The sequence below is a fragment of the Homo sapiens genome, chromosome 9 (genome assembly GCF_000001405.40).
Source record: "Homo sapiens chromosome 9, GRCh38.p14 Primary Assembly".
Taxonomy (NCBI): domain Eukaryota; kingdom Metazoa; phylum Chordata; class Mammalia; order Primates; family Hominidae; genus Homo; species Homo sapiens.
In genome coordinates this window covers 69660383-69681047 of record NC_000009.12, presented here as the reverse complement: position 1 = coordinate 69681047, position 20665 = coordinate 69660383, and the positions used below count along the sequence as shown (strand labels likewise).

The 20665-nt window shown below is 42.0% G+C and overlaps 1 protein-coding gene across 4 annotated transcripts in view, besides 2 other annotated features; it reads left to right on the top strand.

The window, feature by feature from the left end:
• Positions 1-8034: 8034 nt before the first annotated feature.
• The window catches only part of APBA1 (amyloid beta precursor protein binding family A member 1), a 245482-nt gene continuing 232851 nt past the window's right edge, over positions 8035-20665 (top strand). For 3 of the 4 annotated variants that reach the window (XM_005251968.4, NM_001163.4, XM_047423300.1), the window contains exon 1: positions 8677-8895. The gene's annotated coding sequence lies outside the window, so the exon portion shown is untranslated. Of the gene's footprint in view, positions 8198-8676; positions 8896-20665 lie in introns of those variants that run through there. The other variant, XM_011518617.3, reaches the window with a different exon arrangement.
• Positions 8600-8649: a silencer, noted in NCBI's record as "silent region_19935". NCBI's record gives its function as "represses an Ori minimal core promoter by ATAC-STARR-seq in GM12878 lymphoblastoid cells {active_cell/tissue: GM12878}" and the evidence as "EXISTENCE:reporter gene assay evidence [ECO:0000049][PMID:35858748]".
• Positions 8830-8909: a silencer, noted in NCBI's record as "silent region_19934". NCBI's record gives its function as "represses an Ori minimal core promoter by ATAC-STARR-seq in GM12878 lymphoblastoid cells {active_cell/tissue: GM12878}" and the evidence as "EXISTENCE:reporter gene assay evidence [ECO:0000049][PMID:35858748]".

Sequence of the window (20665 nt, the reverse complement as noted above, 5' to 3'; positions counted from 1 at the left end):
CTAAAGAGCTTCTGCACAGCAAAAGAAACTACCATCAGAGTGAACAGGCAACCTACAAAATGGGAAACAATTTTCACAACCTACTCATCTGACAAAGGGCTAATATTCAGAATCTACAATGAACTCAAACAAATTTACAAGAAAAAAACAAACAACTCCATCAAAAAGTGGGCGAAGGACATGAACAGACACTTCTCAAAAGAAGACATTTATGCAGCCAAAAAACACATGAAAAAATGCTCACCATCACTGGCCATCAGAGAAATGCAAATCAAAACCACAATGAGATACCATCTCACACCAGTTAGAATGGCAATCATTAAAAAGTCAGGAAACAACAGGTGCTGGAGAGGATGTGGAGAAATAGGAACACTTTTACACTGTTGGTGGGACTGTAAACTAGTTCAACCCTTGTAGAAGTCAGTGTGGCGATTCCTCAGGGATCTAGAACTAGAAATACCATTTGACCCAGCCATCCCATTACTAGGTATATACCCAAAGGACTATAAATCATGCTGCTATAAAGACACATGCACACGTATGTTTATTGCGGCACTATTCGCAATAGCAAAGACTTGGAACCAACCCAAATGTCCAACAATGATAGACTGGATTAAGAAAATGTGGCACATATACACCATGGAATACTATGCAGCCATAAAAAAGGATGAGTTCATGTCCTTTGTAGGGACATGGATGAAACTGGAAGTCATCATTCTCAGTAAACTATTGCAAGGACAAAAAACCAAACACTGCGTATTCTCACTCATAGGTGGGAATTGAACAATGAGAACACATGGACACAGGAAGGGGAACATCACACTCTGGTGACTGTTGTGGGGTGGGGGAGGGGGGAGGGATAGCTTTAGGAGATATACCTAATGCTAAATGACGAGTTAATGGGTGCAGCACACCAGCATGACACATGTATACATATGTAACTAACCTGCACATTGTGCACATGTACCTTAAAACTTAAAGTATAATAATAATAAATTTAAAAAATAAAAAAAATTAGAAACATAAGAACTTCATAAATTTCACTGAATTATTCTTATATTTTTGCCTGAAAGGCCTTTGCATTTTATCTGTGAAAGCAGCAGACTCTGTTGCAATGTCTCTTTGATGAAATATACACAATAAAGGATGAGGGATCTATTAAAAAAAAAAAGAAAAAGAAAAGCAAACAAATAACACAAAAACACCATTTAGTCAGGCTCTCATTTGTGTGTCTTTTATCCCAGTCAGTAAACTTCACTGGAGTTATTTGATTAGAGGTCTGTCTGATTTTTCTTAAAGTAGACAAGTTGACAAGTTGTTGAGGATAGAGCTTGTGATATTTGGCTTGAACTTTTAAATGCCTGCTACAGTAGCTAGCGCATATTAGATTAGTAAAGTTTGGGGAATGAAGATCTAATCATTTGGTAGCTTTTAAAAATAGTATTACCTACTGGAAATGTTAAATATAGTCATGACTGTTCACTATATTGTTACTGTTCATCCCGAATGCTGATATTGTGCAAGCATATGGAAAAAAATTCTCAAGAAGTAGTGCTTTAATGAAATAGAATTTCACAGGATATCACTTATAGTGTGTGTGTGTGTGTGTGTGTGTGTTTGTGTGTGTGTGTGTGTTGAGAGAGAGAGAGGAAAGAGGGAAAAATTTCCTTGTCTGACAGAAGGGTTAAAGATCTGATAAAATTGCTGACACTGATTTTATATACTCTTAAAGTCTTACCAGGCTCCTTATTTTTGAGTCAGTGGACACATCTATAACTTTTTTCGGACACTACTGAACACTAATAAAAAATAGCAGCAAATGAAAAGGAAATTGTTTTAATGGCAAATTATTTACATAATCTTCCTGAACACTCTAACTGGAATAACTGGAAAGATAGCTAATAAGTACAGACAGTCCCCAACATACCATAGTTCAACTTATGACTTTTTGACTTTACAATGGTGGGAAAGCTATAGGCATTGAGTAGAAACTGTAACTCCACCAAGGAGTGTCTGTATAATCAGTCAGCCAACAAATATTTGATGAGTTCTTCCTGGGTACTCCGTAATATGCTACGTATTTAGTGGAGGAAATACTAAGAGAATGTAGTTGACATTTGCTCACTGATCTTTCAGGGTTCATAAACAACTTGGAGAGGTGATACCAACAACGTGGAACAAAATACCTAACAGAAAACAGGAATAGAGCAGTGATTTTAAATCATGTGTCCATATGTCAGTGCCATTCTAGAAACAGCACCAAGGGGGACTCCTGCCAAAAATGAATAATGGTAACATATATATACACATACATATGCATGTATATATAATTTTTGTCTACAAACTGGTAAGAGGAAAATATCTATTGGAATTTTCTCAATTTTATATTCTTATTCTAGGCATCTTCCTTCAGTCATTGGTATTTACTACCACTTGATTTACTAATAAGATGGCAAAAAGTTATAAATCTGTAGCAAACACATGTTAAAAGAAAAAATTCTGAAATTGCTGAGCACTTAATTTCACAGCTTATTTTCAAGGAAATATACTTGTAATGGCATATTTTATATAGAAACCACATAGTCATAATTTCTTCTGGTAAAATTGTGCCTGGTTTGTAGGATGAATTAAATATGTCAATATTTTATAGTGTTCCTACCAGATGACCATCATATTCAACTACTTTACTGTCAAAATAAATTTGGAAACAACCAAATATATAAGCAAGTGTTAAACGGAATGAGCAACCAATTTAATCATTTTTAAAATCTATTTCTATCCTGACATTCCACAAAGGCTGTGAGGCTCCTAGTGCTACAAACAAATGCTCAGAAGATAAGGTATTTCAATGAGAGTAAATTAGTCTAAAAACATTTTCTTAAAGCATGCGGTGTTTAAAATAAGCCTTGAAGGATAAATCAAATTTGGAAAAAATGCTTTAGAAATGCAAAGTGACCCAATAATTATTTTTATGGCATCTGGTGGTAAGGGGTATTAATGTTTACAGCCACATTCTTAGTATTATTGTTTTTCAAATTAAGGTCATCTGTACGTTGGTTTAAAAAAAAACGTAAGCTACCGAAACATAGAAAGAAGAAAATAACCCTATTACTTGAGTGAGCTACCATTCACATTTTGATGTATTCTTTTCTGTGCATTTTTTAAAGTTATGGCCATCCATCTACAGAATTTTTTATCTAGGCTTTTTCAGTTAAGATGTGAAATTAACTTTTTCCATGTTATTAAAAAAAATCTGGCCAGGTGCGGTGACTCATGCCTGTAATCCCAGCACTTTGGGAGGATGAGGCAGGCAGATCACGAGGTCAGGAGTTCGAGACCAGCCTGACCAAAATGGTGAAACCCCGTCTCTACTAAAAATACAAAAAAGAGCTGGGCATGGTGGCACGTGCCTGTAATCCCAGCTACTCAGGAGGCTGAGGTAGGAGAATTGCTTGAACCTGGGAGGCGGAGGTTGCAGTGAACCAAGATAGGGCCACTGCATTCCAGCCTGGGTGACAGAGTAAGACACTGTCTCAAAAAAAAAAAAAAAAAATCTGTGCATATGGTTATCTTTAAAGGCTGCATAGTATTCCACTGTACAGTCATACTGATCTATATACCAATTTCCTTATTGTGGTACATTTACATTGAAGTTTATAGTTTTTCACTATTATATGCCTGAGGTGAACAGGGAAGGTGGTGTTTTTGTTTCCCTCTTTCCATTTCACCCTTTTTGTAGTCACCAGATCTTGCTCTATCCTCAATCAGCCATGTGGTTTGGGGAGGATTGACCCAGCTCCAGGACTGGGAGCTGATTGGTTTAAGTTAGTCAGTGTAACCCAAGCCCCTGGCCATGGAGTATGGTTCAGAGAATGGGATTACAACCATTTTTAAAAGTCAATATGTTCCCATGACATTATTTACTCAAAAACTTCATTTTCAGAGGTAGAATTACCATATGGGGCACCAGAATGTCTTCCAATGTATCAGATAAACACATAGTACAAAATTCTGGTTGGACTCATTAAAGGGCACAGTGGGAGAAAAAGAGAAGGAGCCTGACCTTGTTTGCAGAATAAAAAAGAAAAGAAGGGCATTATTTCTCTGGACAGATTTCATGCCCAGAGAAAAAGCTGGTGAAATAAGCATCTGTATATACAAGCAAATTTATTGAAGTTTATGATACATACATGTCATAATTGTGTATTTCTTTCATACACTTTAAATCCTGTGACCAAAAAGGCTATACAATATGTTAGGAATTATGCTGGATTATTAAATATTAGCAGAACTGAAATCCTCAAGAGAAACCAGATTACCGAAGGTTGTTCTATGCTTGTCTTACATACAACCTCAGCTCATAAACTCAAGGACTGATACAGAAAGAGGGTAATCACTAAAGAACTTGAAATCAAGGAAAAGTATCAACTTATGTCAGAAGAAGGATGTCTAATTTAAGCTATCCAGAACCATATCAAAAGCTGGAAGATATGGTCACACTCTTGCAGAGTTTGAATGGATGTAGTGAATCATGGAATCTTCAAGTCTTTGTTGATAAAAATAACCCTAAATGAATAAAAGTTTTTGAATCTCTGTCCTTTTACCAAGTGACCAACAGTGCTTGTGACGGTAACATATACAGATACTCCTTGACTTATGGTGGGGTTACATAAGTCAAAAATGCATTTAAGGCCAAGCACAGTGGCTCACGCCTGTAATCCCAGCACTTTGGGAGGCCAGGGCGGGTGGATCACTTGAAGTCAGGAGTTTGAGACCAGCCTGGCCAAAATGGTGAAACCCTGTCTCTACTAAAAATACAAAAATTAGCCGGGCATGGTGGTGGGCGCCTATAGTCCCAGCTACTAGGGAGGCTGAGGCAGGAGAATCGCTTGAACCCGGGAGGCAGAGGTTGCAGTGACCCAAGACTGCACCACTGTACTCCAGCCTGGGCAACAGAGTGAGGCACTGACAAAAAAAAAAATTAATACCCTGATAAGCCCAAAAGTAAGGTCAAAAACTTCTAAGTCGAACCATCATAAGACAGGAACCGTCTGTATTGGTATAGTGTAGGCTGATGGAGTTTGGGACCTCAGAGATTAAACTAAAGGAGATTATCTATGAGCCATTGGGAGACATACTTAAGTTTGCCAATAATATGAGGTTTTATACTGGCATGCACGGAGACTTTAGGTGCACATGCAGTGGTGGTTAAGGCTTTACTTTAAACCCAAGTCACTTGGCACAGTGTCTATACTATTGTTACCTGCTTCAATGGTTGGCAGGTTGCCAGTGTTTTATTTTTAGTGACATGGTCTTGCTCTATCACCCAGGCAGAAATGCTATGGCACAATTATAGCTTACTGCAGCCTCAACCTCCTGGATTAAAGCAATCCTCCCATCTCAGCCTCCCAAGTAGCTAGGACTGCAGGAATTCGCCACCATGCCCACTAATTTTTTTTTTTTTTTGAGAGACGGGGGTCTTACTATGTTGCCCAAGCTGGTCTTGAACTCCCCAGCAATCCTCCCACGTTGGCCTCCCAAAGTGCTGGGATTACAGGCATGAGCCACCATGCCTGGCTGCCAGTATTTTATATACTGCTTCCTGAAACACTTGAATAGCAGTTTCGACCCTGTTAACAGGAGAAGGTGGATTGGAGTGGTGGATTGGAGTGCCTTATAAGAGATCTACTAAAAAGAAAAACATCAATAAAGCAGGCACAGGAAATCTATAAATAGAATAGAACAAGACCAAAGGAGGGATTAAGACATGGATCTACATGCCATATGGATCCACTCATTTCCTACAATGATCTGAAAATTTGGCTTTGAGTTTCCTGCCAGCGAAGGCACAGAGTAACAAGAGCACTTAAGACAATGATTCATGCTATCCAGAAGAAATAGGAATATGTGTTTTTCATGGGGGTGGGGGAGGGAGGGAAATTTCCACATATGAACATTTGGTAAGTAATTAGTTTTGGAGGTCTCTAAGCTACCATTATAACTAACAATTATTACCTTTCTTTATATGGCACTGAATACTTTGCAGAGAAATTTCACATAACTTTCTTTACACAAAAATCCTGCGAGGTAAGATTCCAGGATATTATTAAAGCAATAATGTAACCCTTATTCATGCATCTAAGAACCTAGTCTAACTGGAAAGGCAACACAAAAAGTAGAAAATAAGCAGAAAGATCTCTGAGATAGCAAACCAAATGGCAATAAGTGTATGCACAGAAAAGAGCCTCTCACTCAGAACCTATATTCTCTTATTTAACCTGAAATTCTAACAGGGTTCATTTCCTTCCTAAAACTGCAGTGGATTAAAAGTAACAAAACAGAAACTATTACAGAGAAGCACTCTGAAAGCCTCCTAGATGCGTACACAGGAGAGCAGAGGCAAGAACTAAAAACAATCAAAAGAGCAGTTAGTGCAAAAACAGAAAACCCTAAACACTCACTAAGTAGGATAAGCTCAGACTCTCTCCGCCCTGGATCCTGACCCTCCACGAATCAGTTCCTCACAAACCACCTCAGCCATCTTTCAGGAACGGAAATGTGATCCTGCTTGCCTGCTCCCAACTCTTGGCAACCCTTCATTGACTTTCCAGGCTCATAAGACAAAATCATTATTTAAAAACGGTCCACAAAGTCTGCCTGCCTCTCCAGTCTCATCTCACTTCGGCCCCACCTGCTTGGGCCTTTTCACATTTCCTTCCCTTTACCTGGAAGTGTCTCAATGCTGCCTCTCCTGGGGGATCTGAAATGTCATTTCCTTAGAAAGCCTTACCTAGTCCCAGAGTCCACATTAGGTTTTCCCGTGCACCTTAGCGCCTTTGCAGTTGAGAATTTATCACAGTTGCACTTAGTCTGATTGTTTTATTTGTTTGTTTGTTTTTTGAGACACCAAGGCTGGAGTGCAGTAGCGCGATCTCGGCTCACTGCAACCTCCGCCTCCCGGTTCAAGCATTCTCGTGCCTCAGCTTCCCGAGTAGCTAGGATTACAGGCGTGCACCAACACGCCCGGCTAATTTTTGTGTTTTTAGTAGAGACAGGGTTTCGCCATGTTGACCAGGCTGATCTCAAACTTTTGGCCTAAAGTGATCTGCTGGACTCAGCCTCCCAAAGTGCTGGGATTACAGGCGTGAGCCACCGCGCCTGGCCAGTCTGATAGTTGAATACCTATTTCCTTCAGCGTACTGTGAGCTCTGGTGGAAAAGGACCATGTCTGGCTCGTACATATGCCAAATAAGTATTCACCGGAAAAAATATGAGTAATGTCACAGGACAAGCAGACATCTTCCTAGTATATAATTTTAAATTTTACTAAAATCTTTTTGAGAAGGTAGCTATTGTTTTATTAAAGCAAAAAAAAATTACAAAGTACAATGCAAAATTCATATGAATTTTAAAGCTAAAACAAGACTTTCAGAATGCTTTAGGCTACACCCCCAGACTTCTCTAGAGACGTGCTTAAAATAATATGGAAACACGGTGTGGTAAAAGATCCATTTCCCAAGGGATCTGGATAACCAGCGCTTATCTTCATTTTACTGGAGAATACATGTGCGGAGAGGGCTTTGCAAACTACAAGGCTTTGTGCATTATAACATTATTATGGAAAAATCTGTGTTTCTAAGAGGGGGAATGATTTAGCTATTGCATTGCCAATTACAGGTGGGGCTGGCGCCAGAGCCCAGGCCTCCCGGGGCCTGTCTAGCCCACAGCTTTTCATTAATGCACAGCACTTGCCACCTGGTCCCTGCCGCAAAGGGTGGCCTCTCGAGTTAGGAGCCATATCTAGGGCGGATGGCCTGTGCTAGGCTCAAAGACACTTAAGTTCCGATCAACCAGAACTGAGGAGCGGGTAGGAAAACCAAGCCGAGCCTTCCTCGGCTTCACAATCCGCAGGCTCTCCGCTGTCCCCGGCGGGACTCGGCAGTTCCCCTGGAGGGCTGCAGCCCGGCTGTCTTCGCTCAGGCCCAAGCCCGCGCGGCTCTCCCCCTGGCGGAGAACTCGCAGGACTGCGACGCATTCCGGAGACGCCGTCAATCTCCGAATTTGAAGCGCAGGCGATATCTAAGGGGCCTGGGAAGCGGGAAAGCTCGGGAGTCACTCCGGAGAGAACACCCTGCAGGAGTCGACGCGGCTGCCTGGCTTCGTGGTCCTGCAGCGTGGCCCGTTGCTTCGCGCAGAGGTTGGCCACAGCTGCTGGCTAGGAAACTGGGGACCACCTGGGTTGCCACCGAGGAGGGTGGAGGCCCCCGTCAGTCCCCTCGGGGATGCAGCTGCATTTTCCCCTCCTTGCGTCCGGCCGGGAGCCAGAGGATGGGGCTGTGGAACCCATTCCGAAAGGCAGGGCGGGCCCTTCGGAACCCGGACGCGAGGGAAGGCGAGAGGCGCGGGTGTGCCGCACGCCCACCGGCGCCGGGGCAGGGGCGCTGCAGCCGGCGGCCCACGGAGGACATCAGCGGTGCCGCCGCCGCCGCCGCGGGCTCGCGGGCCGCGCGCGCACGCGAGTGGGCGAGGGAGGCAGGGGCGCTACTAGCAGGCGGCGTGCGCGCGCGCGCTCCCCCGCGCCCTCCCTCGCAGGCCCGCCCGGCCCCAGCGCGCGTCACGAGGGGCCAGCGAGCTAGCTGGAGGGCGGGAGGGAGGGTGGGGAAAGGGGGTGGGGCCGCGAGACCGGAGGGGTCCGAGCAGCGGCTGCGGAGCCGGAGCTGGGCGAGGGCGGCTGCGGTCCCGGCGGCGGCGGCGGCGGCGGCAGCTGCGGCGGGAGAAGATGGTGGCGCTGGAGGCAGCAGCGGCTGGAGCGGAGCTTTATTCCCAGGCTTGGCACCAGCGCTGTCACTAGCGCCGCCTGCTCCCGCGGGCCCGCGGACCCAGCTGTCAGGCAAGGTACCACAGCCAGGGAGGGGTGGGTGAGAAGGGGTGCCCGGCGCTGATGCGGCCCCCGACGGAGCCCGGGTCCTCGCCAAAGGGCGCCCCCGGACGCGAGAGGGGCTGCCTGGAACAATAGTGCGGAGGAGCGGAGGCAGCAGGCGACATCCAGGAGGCAGTGCCTGGAACCATCAGCTAGCGAGGCGGGGGAAGGCGGCGTTGCGAGCGAGACGCCTGGGGTCCGGTGCCCGCTGAGATGCCGGGCTTCGGGCGCAGCAGGCGGGCCTGATGACAGTCATGGCAGGAGTGAGTGTGTGAGAGTGTGTGTGTAAAAGGTACAGCAGAGGGGATGGGGTGGCGGACGGAGGTGTTGGGGGGTGACATTTCCAGGAATCCCCGCTAGGACCCCCTCATCTCTCGGCTGACTCTCCTGGAGAAAGAATGTGATGATGGAAACGGTGAGGTGGGCAGGATGCACTTGGTGTGTGAAGTGTGGAGGGAGGCAGTGGGATAGGGGCCGGTTTGTAAAATCCTGTATATGTGTGTGTACGCGTGTGGTTGCATCCACGTTCCCCAAACTGCGCCCCAAATCCAGAGATCTGCCGCTGCCCTTACTTGATGTCACCGGCTAAGACTGTGGGACAGTGTTTGTTATTTTGACCCTGCAACTCTGAGCACAGTGTCTGTTCTGCTCCTGCGTGTGGATGGCCCAGTGTAGGGATTCTCGCTTCCCCTTCCTCTGGCCTCATGACATGGGGATGTGGAAGTGAGCATGTTGCTTTGAGGCACATGGCAGGGAAATAGGATAACCGTTACACATTCTGGGCTTGCTAATGTACCTGGTTTTGAAGGGGCCTTCCATCCTGTGATACTACTTCTCTCCTTAGCACCTGTTCCATAAGGGTCTTGTACTCCCTGACTGTGCAGTTTCTATTGTTTTTCTCTTGTCTGACCAGAAGGAGAAGGATGTTGAATGATCAGATTCCTCTTCCTGTCCCCACAACTTTCAATGCTAGCTAGACCTTCTCCTTCCACATTTAAGCACTGAAAACCTTATGGCTAGAGGATGGATGGTCTTTGTGTTGGTTCTTTTAGAATGAACTCTGGAGGTGTATACGTATAGAGAGATGCGGTGGGGCGGGGGGCGGTCTTTTAAAAAGAAGAAAAATATCACACGGAGAAATGTTTGGTGCCCACTTGGTCAGCATCACACAGCCAGGGCGTTTTCCTCAGGAAACAGGATACTTTATTTCTACTGCTGGTGACATCCACTCTCCCAGCTGTCACAATAGCTAGGTGGTGCCGTGTATCATTTGGAAACTGAAATCTCCTGAGACCCACAGCGATGGGGTCCCAGGTCAGTAAAGTCCCTGCTTTCCTACCTGATAGAGCCCACTAGTAGGGAATTTGGAAAAATGTCAGGCTGGCAACAACTCACCCAGTGGGAACAAGGACACAGAAATGCATCCAGAGTCTATGGCTGTTTAATTGTCTCTGCGTGGTAAAGATAGGTGTGTGTAGGTAGGGTTGGGTAGAGGTAGGCAGGGAGATGGCATATTCATGTGTATCCAGGGCAGTGTGATTCCCCCTCACCTATGTTTCTCCTGCGGTATTCATAGGAATGAGTGCACTTTACACTTAATATCTCGACACTTCTTTATTAAAATGTTGTATGACTAGCTTAATCTGCTTAGGACATGTTTTAGTCATAACACCTTAAATTCTACTGCATTGTCGGAATCCAAACTGGCTGCCCGGTTCTCTTCGAAAAGCCCGTAGCAGTCATGGCTACACAAGTAAATATACAACATGTTGGCACCAGAGATTTATTTTTCTTTTTTAAAATTTTTGTTTTGCTTTCTTTTATGGGCAAAGATTGCATGATATCGTTGTGAAAATAATAAAACTAGGGCTATCCACATATGCTTTTTTTTCTTCCCATGTATCTTATTTAATGATATATAGACAAGGTGCTCTTGAAGCTGTCTATGTAAAGTAAATTTCCCCATGTTCTTCAAGTCAAGCCTTCTAAGATTTTAATGTGAGGTTGGTTGTTGGCTGTCATCCAAGATTTAAGGATAGATTTATAAAAATGAATTTTGAATCTTAGTTCTTTACTCTCTTATTTGTTATGCCAAATGTCTTTCTGAGAAAAGTACTTAGGGAATTTAAAAGCCATTCTAAGAGATTTTGGTTTAAAAAAAAGTCATCATCCTTTATATTTGCAAGTAAGACCAGGGATGTAAATGTCTCACAAGAAAGTTTAATAATATGAGGAATTACCAGGTAAATACCCTGTTTAGAGAAAGAGGAATTACACAGCAGCAAAATCGATGACTCAGGAATCAGTTCTTTTCTAATGTAAATGTGATCATTTTTATTTTTATTTGTCTTTTTGAGACAGGATCTTCCTCTGTCGCCCAGGCTGGAGTGCAGTAGTGTGATCATAGCTCACTGCAGCCTCAAACTCCTAGCTCAAGCAATCCTCCTGCCTCAGCCTCCTGAGTAGCTGGGACAATAGGCACATGGCACCACACCCAGATATTTGTTTATTTTTTTCAGAGATAGAGTCTCGCTATGCTGCCCAGGCTGATAGTTTTAAAAATGCAATATCTGGCTTTTCTAAAGATCGGACTGGTATAAGGTTAATGAGACAGCTCTAATAAATGGTGGTACCTTTTGCTGTGGCCTGCAGCAAGCCATTTTTTGTGCATGGATGCCTTTCCTTCACTTAAAGTAGCATCAGTGCTTTTCTCTTCCATTATTGAGCCTCTTAAGGTTTTTTGTTGTTGTTGTTTTGTTTTGTTTTGTTGTTATTGTGTTTGTTTGTTTCGGAAGACTTAGGGGTAAGAGATATTTGAAAATTGACCTCTGGGGCCAAAAGGAATTAACTGTAGTACCTTGGGGAGATAGGACTTTTATCCTAGAAAGAAGAAGTAATTGTTGCTAAAATTGAGAGAATTTCAAGCCGTAAAATCTGAAGTTAACTCTCTGGGTTACAATAATTAATTTGCAAACATTTGTTAATTGCCTCCCGCATCTCAGATCCACTGTACCTTTGGATAGGGGACAGGGAATGTTGAGAAGGGTTGGAGGTTCAAAGAATGCTAAGTCTTAGATCCTGGCCAGAGGTGGATCATGATCTAGAAGGAGAAAAGAGGAAATATGTTACTAACTGTAAAAATAGTGAAAAATGATTAAGTGCTGAAAAAGCAGTATTCCTGCAGAGCTGTGGGAGTTCACAGGGTACAAAGTGACTTCTGATGGAAGAATTAGGGAAGGTTACATGGGATATAGCATTTGAGCTGTGATTAAGGTGGCATTTGGGTTGGCAGAGAAGGAAGGGCATGCTTGGGGGAGGAACAGTGTAGCACAGGCCTGGCAGTGGAAGGTGTATGCCTACACAGGAAACAAAAAAATGGTGTGCTTTGGCTGAAGCGCTAGGAATGCCAAGAGATGTAATGAGGGATAAAGCAAGAAAGAGAGGTTTGTTCAAGGTGGTGGAGCAACTTGTACGCCAAGCTAAGGAGTGTGGATTTTGTTCAGTAAGGACTGGGGAACTATAGAAGATTTGTGAGGAGAAAGATTGACAGTATCAGAACTGTGCTTTGGGGCAATACTTTTGTAGTATTATGTTGGATGGAATGACATGGGAAAAGGCTGGCAGGAGGGAGACCAGATAGACTCTATTGTCAAAGTAGGGGAAAGATGGAAAGAGGCAGTGGGAGGCAAGAAGGGAACACACCTAAGAGGTGGTGTGCGGGAATTATCTGAGGAGCTTGAACAGTCACTGGAAAGTGAGGAAGGGAAAAGGGAGGCCAAAAGATCATTGTCAGGCTTAGCTGAGAGAGCAGTTGGGTCATTTTCAGAAAGAAGATATAACAGAGGATAAGGAAGAGGAGAGAAGTTTCTTTTTGAGCATGACAGGCTTGTCCAAGTTAAGGGACTAGAATACAGAGGGAGGTTAGAGCTACCAGGAGATTTGTAGGTCATCTGCTTAGGAGCGATTTTCATATCCCAGGAATCACTGATAAAGAAAATGAAGAAAGAAGAAGCAAAAGTAAGGATAGGATCCTTGAGGGATGTCTGTATGTTGGAGGGGAAAGAGAAAGAAGAGGACAGGAACCACGTTAAACAAGGGGCAATTGGAGAAAAATGATGGAAGTGAAGTGGTACAGTGTCATGGAAGCTGGAAGGGGTGAGGAGAGCCCCTGTCACTCACACAGCACACCCCATGGGTGACGGTGCAACCAAGGCAAAGCCATTGGATTTGACTCTTGGATTTCCTTGATTGTCTTTGTGGTAGGTGGAAGTGGCAGCCAGGGGCAAGGGTTGAAGGGAGGCGTGGGGGAAGGGAAATGGAAAGCAGTGAAAACAGACTTCATTTTCAATAAGTTGGGAGATAAAAGAGAAGGAGAGAGAGTATGATATATCACAACAATGGTGTAGTAGAGGGAAAGTGGTATTTTTAGTATAGGAAGACTTGAGCCTGCTTTATAAGCTGAGGAGAACAATCCATTGAGGGAAAAAGAGATTGAAAATGTAAGGGAGAGGCTCAATTGAGGGAATTAAGTCTTCAAGAAGATGGGAGGATACTAGATGAAAGCAAAGGAAGGATTCTTTTGAGACAGAAGCATAGGAATTTTGAGGTGGAAAGAAAGGAATTTGGCCACAGTCTTTTAAGTGAGGTCAAAGAGAGGTGGGCAGGTTGAAGCCAGGAGTAGAATGACAAAGACTTGTGGGCATTGTGGAAACAGAGCAGTGAGTCAATTAGGAGTGAATAAAAGATCATTACCCAACCATGAGGACCTCATGTGTTTGAAAAGCAGGAATTTGTAGTGAAACCAATTAACGCTATATAATTGGAGTTTGACAACTACTTAAGTAATTTTTGTATAGTGAGCATTTAATCTCACTAAATACAGTGGTTCTTCATTCCCTTAAATGCAGTAAAAAGAGGAGAATGTTTACCTTTAAAATTATCCAAATAAAAGACTCCACTTGTATTTCCTGTAAATATTCTCTCTCAGAGATCTGAGCTAAATTTTAAGAAGTTTATAGTAAAACAATGGGGAAAAATGTAAGTGTTTTTTTAAAGGATGAGCTTTTTCTATCTGTAATGGTAGAATATGGTTTTACAGTGACGTACATGTAAAGTCAGTTTTCAAAAGAAAAATCAAATATAGCACCTCGCCCAATACCATACCCATCATATGCATTCAATATACATTTGTCACATGAATACATGAATAAACTTTTTTTAAGTAAGCTAGCAACAGTATCTAAAATTTTAAATTTCAGGATTTCATTCTTACACAATGGACATCGAATGAGTTGCCTTTTATGGCCTGTGCAAGTTTATGATAGCATTAAAACTATTTATTCATACCTGATATATACATTGAAGCTTTATTTTTAAAAACCCCACATTTTTCACAAAATGATTGTGAACCCTTTAGATCCTTGAGTTATGGGATTATGTCATGATTCCAGGTGAGTTTATGGAACTTCAACTGTAATGAGTGGTGATTTTGAGGTTTTAATGATGAAATTTATTCATTCCTTCAACATACACTCATTGAACACTTTCTCTGGGCCAGAAACTATTCTAGGTGCAAGGAATATGGGGTGGGGGGAGGCATGTCCTTAATATCACAGAACTTTTAGTGGAAGGAGATTAAAAATAAATAAATAAGTAATTACATAATATGCCAGGTGGTAAGTGCTATGACGAAGAATAAAAGAGAGAGAGCAATGGACTGATGATAGTGGGTGGGTGGGGGGTGACATTAGTTTATATAGTATGGTCAGGGAAGACCTTAAGCAGAAAGAGCTGAAAGATGTGAAGTAGTGAGCCCTGCAGATATTTGGGGGAAGGGTCTTCTAGGCAGAGAGGATATCAAAAATGAAAAGGCTGGATAAGAACATGTTTGGCATCCTCAAGGGACAGCAGGGAAACCTTATTGGTTTCCTTGGTTTACCTGGAGCAGTCACTTAGGGAATTCACAATAAAATGCTTTGCCTTTCATTTTCAATTGTTTGCCCATAAGGCTGTATTACCATCTACTGTATTTGGGCTGACCTATGAATCAGTACTGGGTTTATATAAAGATGAATATCCTCAATCAAATGTATTTAAGTTAGAAAACAATCATGCCTGTAATCCCAGCACTTTGGGAGGCTGAGGCAGGCAGATCACTTGAGGTCAGGAGTTCGAGAGCAGCCTGGCCAACATGGCGAAATGCTGTCTCTACTAAAAATACAAGAATTAGCCGGGCATGGTGGCGCATGCTTGTAGTCCCAGCTATTTGGGAGGCTGAGGCAGGAGAATTGCTTGAACCTGGGAGGCAGAGGTTGCAGTGAGCCGAGATCACATCAGAAAACAAAGCGTGATTCTGTCTGGGTAGTGATGAAATACTAGTCAGCTGGAAGTAGTTCTGCTCCTTGGAACTTACATCTCTTCTGTGTCCTGAATCTTCTTTAAATATTGCTCTCTTTTCTTCTTCCTTGTTTCATGTTCCATTCTCAAGTATAAGATCCTTGAGGCTAGAACTTTGTTTTGTTCATCTGGGTATACTCTATAACACAGACTGACTCTCTGCATTAGTAAGGGTTTATCAAATACTTACGGAGAGGAATTGATGAGAAATTTCCAAAGATTTAAGTAACTCAGGTGTAAAGAATGAGGGTAAAGCTCGTTTACCTTGATTTCTGCAGATAGGTAGCTGTTTTTCAAACAGGACACAGAATTGCCATAGGATGCTAAAGCAGTTTATGCATGCAGACCCTGAGATGAGGACTTGAGTTCAGAATAGTTTATCTGAGAGACAACCTCAAGAAGCACAAGTGAGAGAATGGAGAAAATGACACAGGAGAGGGAAGAAAGCCCATTAAGAGGTGAGTTAATGAGCAGGTTACCACGGTGGGCAGCTGAGGCTTGGCTCTGCTGGCATTATATAGACTGCACATTAGGATTGTCCACCAAGCAGTGGAGAAAGTGGGGTCTTTATCCACCATTTCCCTAGGGATATTAAATCTTCAGTACTTTAGGGCTGCTAAGATTAGCCTGAGCAAGCTCCAGAGACACCAAAGAAAGCTCTTGAGCAGAGAAGCAGAGAGGCAGAGCCAGGTGGAAGTGGGAAACTGTCAGTGTATTTGGAGACTGTCGATACAGCTATAGCTGAACTCAGAAGTGGACATGGGACCCCTGTTTAACACAGCACAGAGGTATCATAAAGAATTTTTAACAGATAATAATTGGTTTGATGGCAGTTATTTTAATTTAGGGATTTTAATGTATTGTGACAACTGCCTGCAGTTCTGTTCACTCACAAGCCAACTATTGGCCACCCTCAGTTATCTGAGGTGCAGAGTACTATATATGCTCATGTGTAAGATACGCTCTGTTATAGGGTGGCCCTCAGTTTTCCAACAAGAGCGTTTATAAAAAGACTTTATGTCAACTTGAATATGCATATTCTAGGAATATAGGCAAAGAGTGAAGTATCTACTTATGTTTAATTTATTAGTTTACTTTCATATAATTGAAGTCACATTATATAAAATTATTAATTTAGAAATATGACATCCTTCCATTCTCACATTTTATGAAATCATTTATTCAAATACTTCACATACTTTTTTGACTTTAGAGTCTTTGTCATGATTAGGCCACTTTTGTCATGTTCATTTCTATCTAACTTTTTTGAGATATAGTACTTCTTGAGTTTCTGTATGATGCTACCACCACAAACTTTATTCCAAACCCTGTGTGCTCATTCACTTAATGTAAGAACGTTTGTTTTATCCTTTCTTCCTAAAGGAGTATATTTATGATCTCTGCAACCCAGCACTTCTGTATGTCTTGTGTAAAGACATCCAAGACAAGCAATTGTAAAGCTCCTTCCCAGGAATATTTACTTCAATTGGTGTTAAAATCATGGCCTCCTTTACTCTGTATTCATTCAGTCATTTATCTTCTTTCAATTGCATAGCCTTCAGAAGTATCCCTATCTTGTGTTGATTGAGTTTATTTCCGGCTATCTTCTCCAAATAGTTCTTAAGTAACCTCTGAAACACACAACTCCTTTTCATGAAATCTGCAGTCTTACCAGGTAATATGTTTTTTCATGGTTTCTCTCTTTAAAATCAGTTGCCGTCACATCCAGCATTAGTGAATTACATGGCTTTCAATTTCTGTTATCTTGGAGGTAACAGGGTTTTTGGCATTCAGAAGAAGGTAATTAAGAGAATACCCCACAATATGGGAGACTTTGTAAGCATTTATACATAAGGCAACTTTCTCTTTTCTGAAATACACATTTTGGAGGACAGAATCTCATCTTTTTGTATATGTAAAGTGATCACAGGAGGTTGTCAAGGTATGGTGGCAAAACCAATCCCTACACACTAAGTTTCCTTTTCAGCCTCCTCTTCTGTTCCATGTGGATTAATTAGCATACAATTTGTATGAAAAATACAGCAAATACAGCAATGATTTATTTCCTAATGGAATTAATTGGCCACCATTCCAAATAATGTAATCGTTATGTTTCTGACTATTGATAAATTTTGTATCTCGAGATCAATTCTGCATTTATTAACAGGCACACTTTATTTTAAAGAAGGATAATTGCCAAAGTATGTATAAATTCCTTTTTCTTGTAAATTGTAGCATATTTTAAAAGCAGAGGACGAGCTTAGAGTCATTTAAGGAAATTCCACTTAACAAGAATAATTACCCCCTACATTGGCTATTCAGTGAATTTGGACTTTTATACTGGACTTTACTAAAGTGGGTTGCATTCTGTTGCAGTGGCTTTTACACACTTTTGGCCATGATTCCTGGTGAGAACACAATTTAGATGATAGGCTAGCAACATAGATGAATGTGTGTAAACACATATACACACACACATACATCACTGAAACAAGTTTCACTCAACAATACTTGTCCTTTATTATGTGTAATCCACCCTGATGCTTCCTATCCTATTCTCTTCTGTTCTGTATGTTTGCCAACCCACTGAAGTAATCTCTGCATTGGTGAACCCTAATATGCAGTTTAGAAAACACTGCTGTATTGTATTACATTTATCAGAAGAGTGTTTATTTTCTTATAGTATGAAATAATTTCATGTCAAAAGTTGTTTTTTCGTTTTTTGAATTGTTAGCATATTTGGATATTTGGTGGTATGGACAAATGATGCAGTAATCACAGAGAGAAACTTTATTTTTGAGTAGACATTTTGTTTCCAAAAGAAGAAATTACATTAGTGTGGAAAAGGGAAAGTGGAGTAAGAAGAATAGATTTGTTCTTAGATCTGTGGCTTTCTTGGGTTGTGGGGACCGTGTCAAGTCACTGGGCCACAACCTCCTTGCTGAGCTGGTTCCTCACGATTCTTTCCTGTCCTTCACTCTTCCTGCCCCTCTTCCTAGCTGCTGTCTCTTAGCCTCTAGAGTTCTGGATGTTTAGTTAAATTACTTAATTCTAAATTTTAACCTAATATTATTTCTTCCCAGATGTGAAAATAGTTTCTACGCCCACTTCCCTTCCAAATAACTTGAAAATATAAGAATCATTTTTCCCTGAGCTAGTACCTGGAAGAGTTCTCTCCTAAAGGAGCTAGAATTTGTTCTACAGATGAAATGTTTCCATAGTATTAGGTCATATGAAAGCTTAACCTAATCTTATGTTCAGGTATGATTGTGTTCTTTATGGCAGGCTAGCTATCAAAGTACACATAAATTCCTTTTTTAAAAGCTCAGCAGATTCCCCATCCAGTGACTAAAAACAAGTTACAAAGTGTCAGGCATTGCGCTAAGTACTGTACACAGCTAACTCATTTACTTCTCATAATGACCTAATTTACTCTTCATAACCACATCAGGAGAGAACTTATATTGCAGATTGGACTTTGAGGTTCTCAGAGGTTCCTCAGTGGCTACAAAACAGGACAAAGGGGATTTGCCTCAGGTCTAGGCACAGGAATGGGCCCAGACAGTTGCTGGTCCTGGAGTCTATTCTGTCCTCTGGGCCCAGCAGTAGCTTCCCATCCCCACTGCCCCATCTTGACTCTCTTGTTTATGATGCCTTCATCCTACTTGGGATGTCTGTGTGTGTGTGTGTGTGTGTGTGTGTGTGTGTGTTACTGTTTGTCTTAGTCCATTCAGTGTTGCTATAACAGAGTACCTGAGGCTGGGTAACTTACAAAGAAAAGAAGTTTATTTGGCTCACAATTCTGGTGGCTGGAGAGTTTAAGACCAGGCAGCTGCATCTGGTAAGGGTCTCATGCTGCTTCCACTCATAGTGGAAAGTGGAAAGACAGCGAGTGTGTGCGAAGAGATAACATGGTGAAAGAGGAAAGGAGAGAAAAACCAAGGAAGCCAGATTCTTTTTAACAATCCACTGTCTAGGAAACTATTCCATCCTTGCAAGAGTGAGAACTCATTCATCACTGCAGGAGGACATTCATCTGTTCATAAGAGATTCACCCCCCATGACCCATGCACCTCCCAATACTGCCACATTGGGGATTAAATGTCAACATGAATTTTGTGGGGATGAACCACATTCAGACCATAGTACTGTTGCACCGACATCTCTCCATTCTTGGCCCTGTGGGGTGGCAAGGACTCAGAATGAGCTGGAATACAGTGCTGCCATAATTAGCCATCAACAGTGAACAAGTCTCCAGGTTGGTCTGAGCCTCAGCTTCTCCAGCTACAAAAGGGGAAATGATGAAACCTGCCCTTCCCATCTCTTCCTGCACAGGGCCGCTGGGGTCAAATAAAATATGAAAGGGTACAGAAAAGTAAGGTAGATGTCTCACTTCCTTCATCATGACATTGAACGAAAGTGACTCCCTACCTAGTTCTAATAGCTAGTGTCTCTTTCCTCTAAACCAGAAGTTGACAAACTTTCTCTGTTTAGGGCTAGTAGTAAATAGGTTTTGTGGGCCATATGGTCTCTGCCACAACTCCTCCACTCTGCCCTTGTAGTGCAAAAGCAACTGTACACAATATGTAAACCTATTAGTGTGACTGTATTTCAACCAAAGTTTGTTTATGGATGCTAAAATTCAAATTTCATATCATTTTTGCTTCACAAAATGTTGATTTCTCATTTAACTTTTTGCAACCATCTAAAAACATAAAAAACATTCTCAGCTCCAAGGCAGTACACAAACAGGCAGTGGGATGGATTTGTCCCACGGACCTCAGTTTACTGACCCCTGATCTAAACTCTCACAGTGCTTTGTACCACTCTGGATTCCAGCAGCTCATGCTCATCTTTTCCATCTCTCTTGTCCTTTCAAAATATGCACCCACCCACACACTCATTTTTTCATCTCCCTTAACACTGAGAAAGATAATAGCATATGTATAGTATGCCCCCCACATGTATATTCTATATGCCCAAGAAATATTTATTGAGTAAATCAGGATTAAAAATCTGTTGCTTTTGTATGTTTCCTGTTTTTTCATCTTTAAAGGAAATTCCACCTATTCTCTAGTAAAGCTTTGGGAATGATTGAGTTAAGATTTTGTGATTAAATATAAGGCTTTGAGATTCTTGCCTTAAAGTATTTCCCCCCTCTGTTATTAACCATAAAAGGAAAAGAATGTCAGGGAGGACAGAGAGGAAAAGCAAACAGACAAACAAAACCAACATTTCAGCATGAAAAGCGCTTGTTAGATGATAACTAAAGTGGCCAGATGTTTAGCTTTGCTCCCTTGGGTATCCTGCCACTATAGGGAACTCTGAACCGGCTGAAGTGTTTCATGC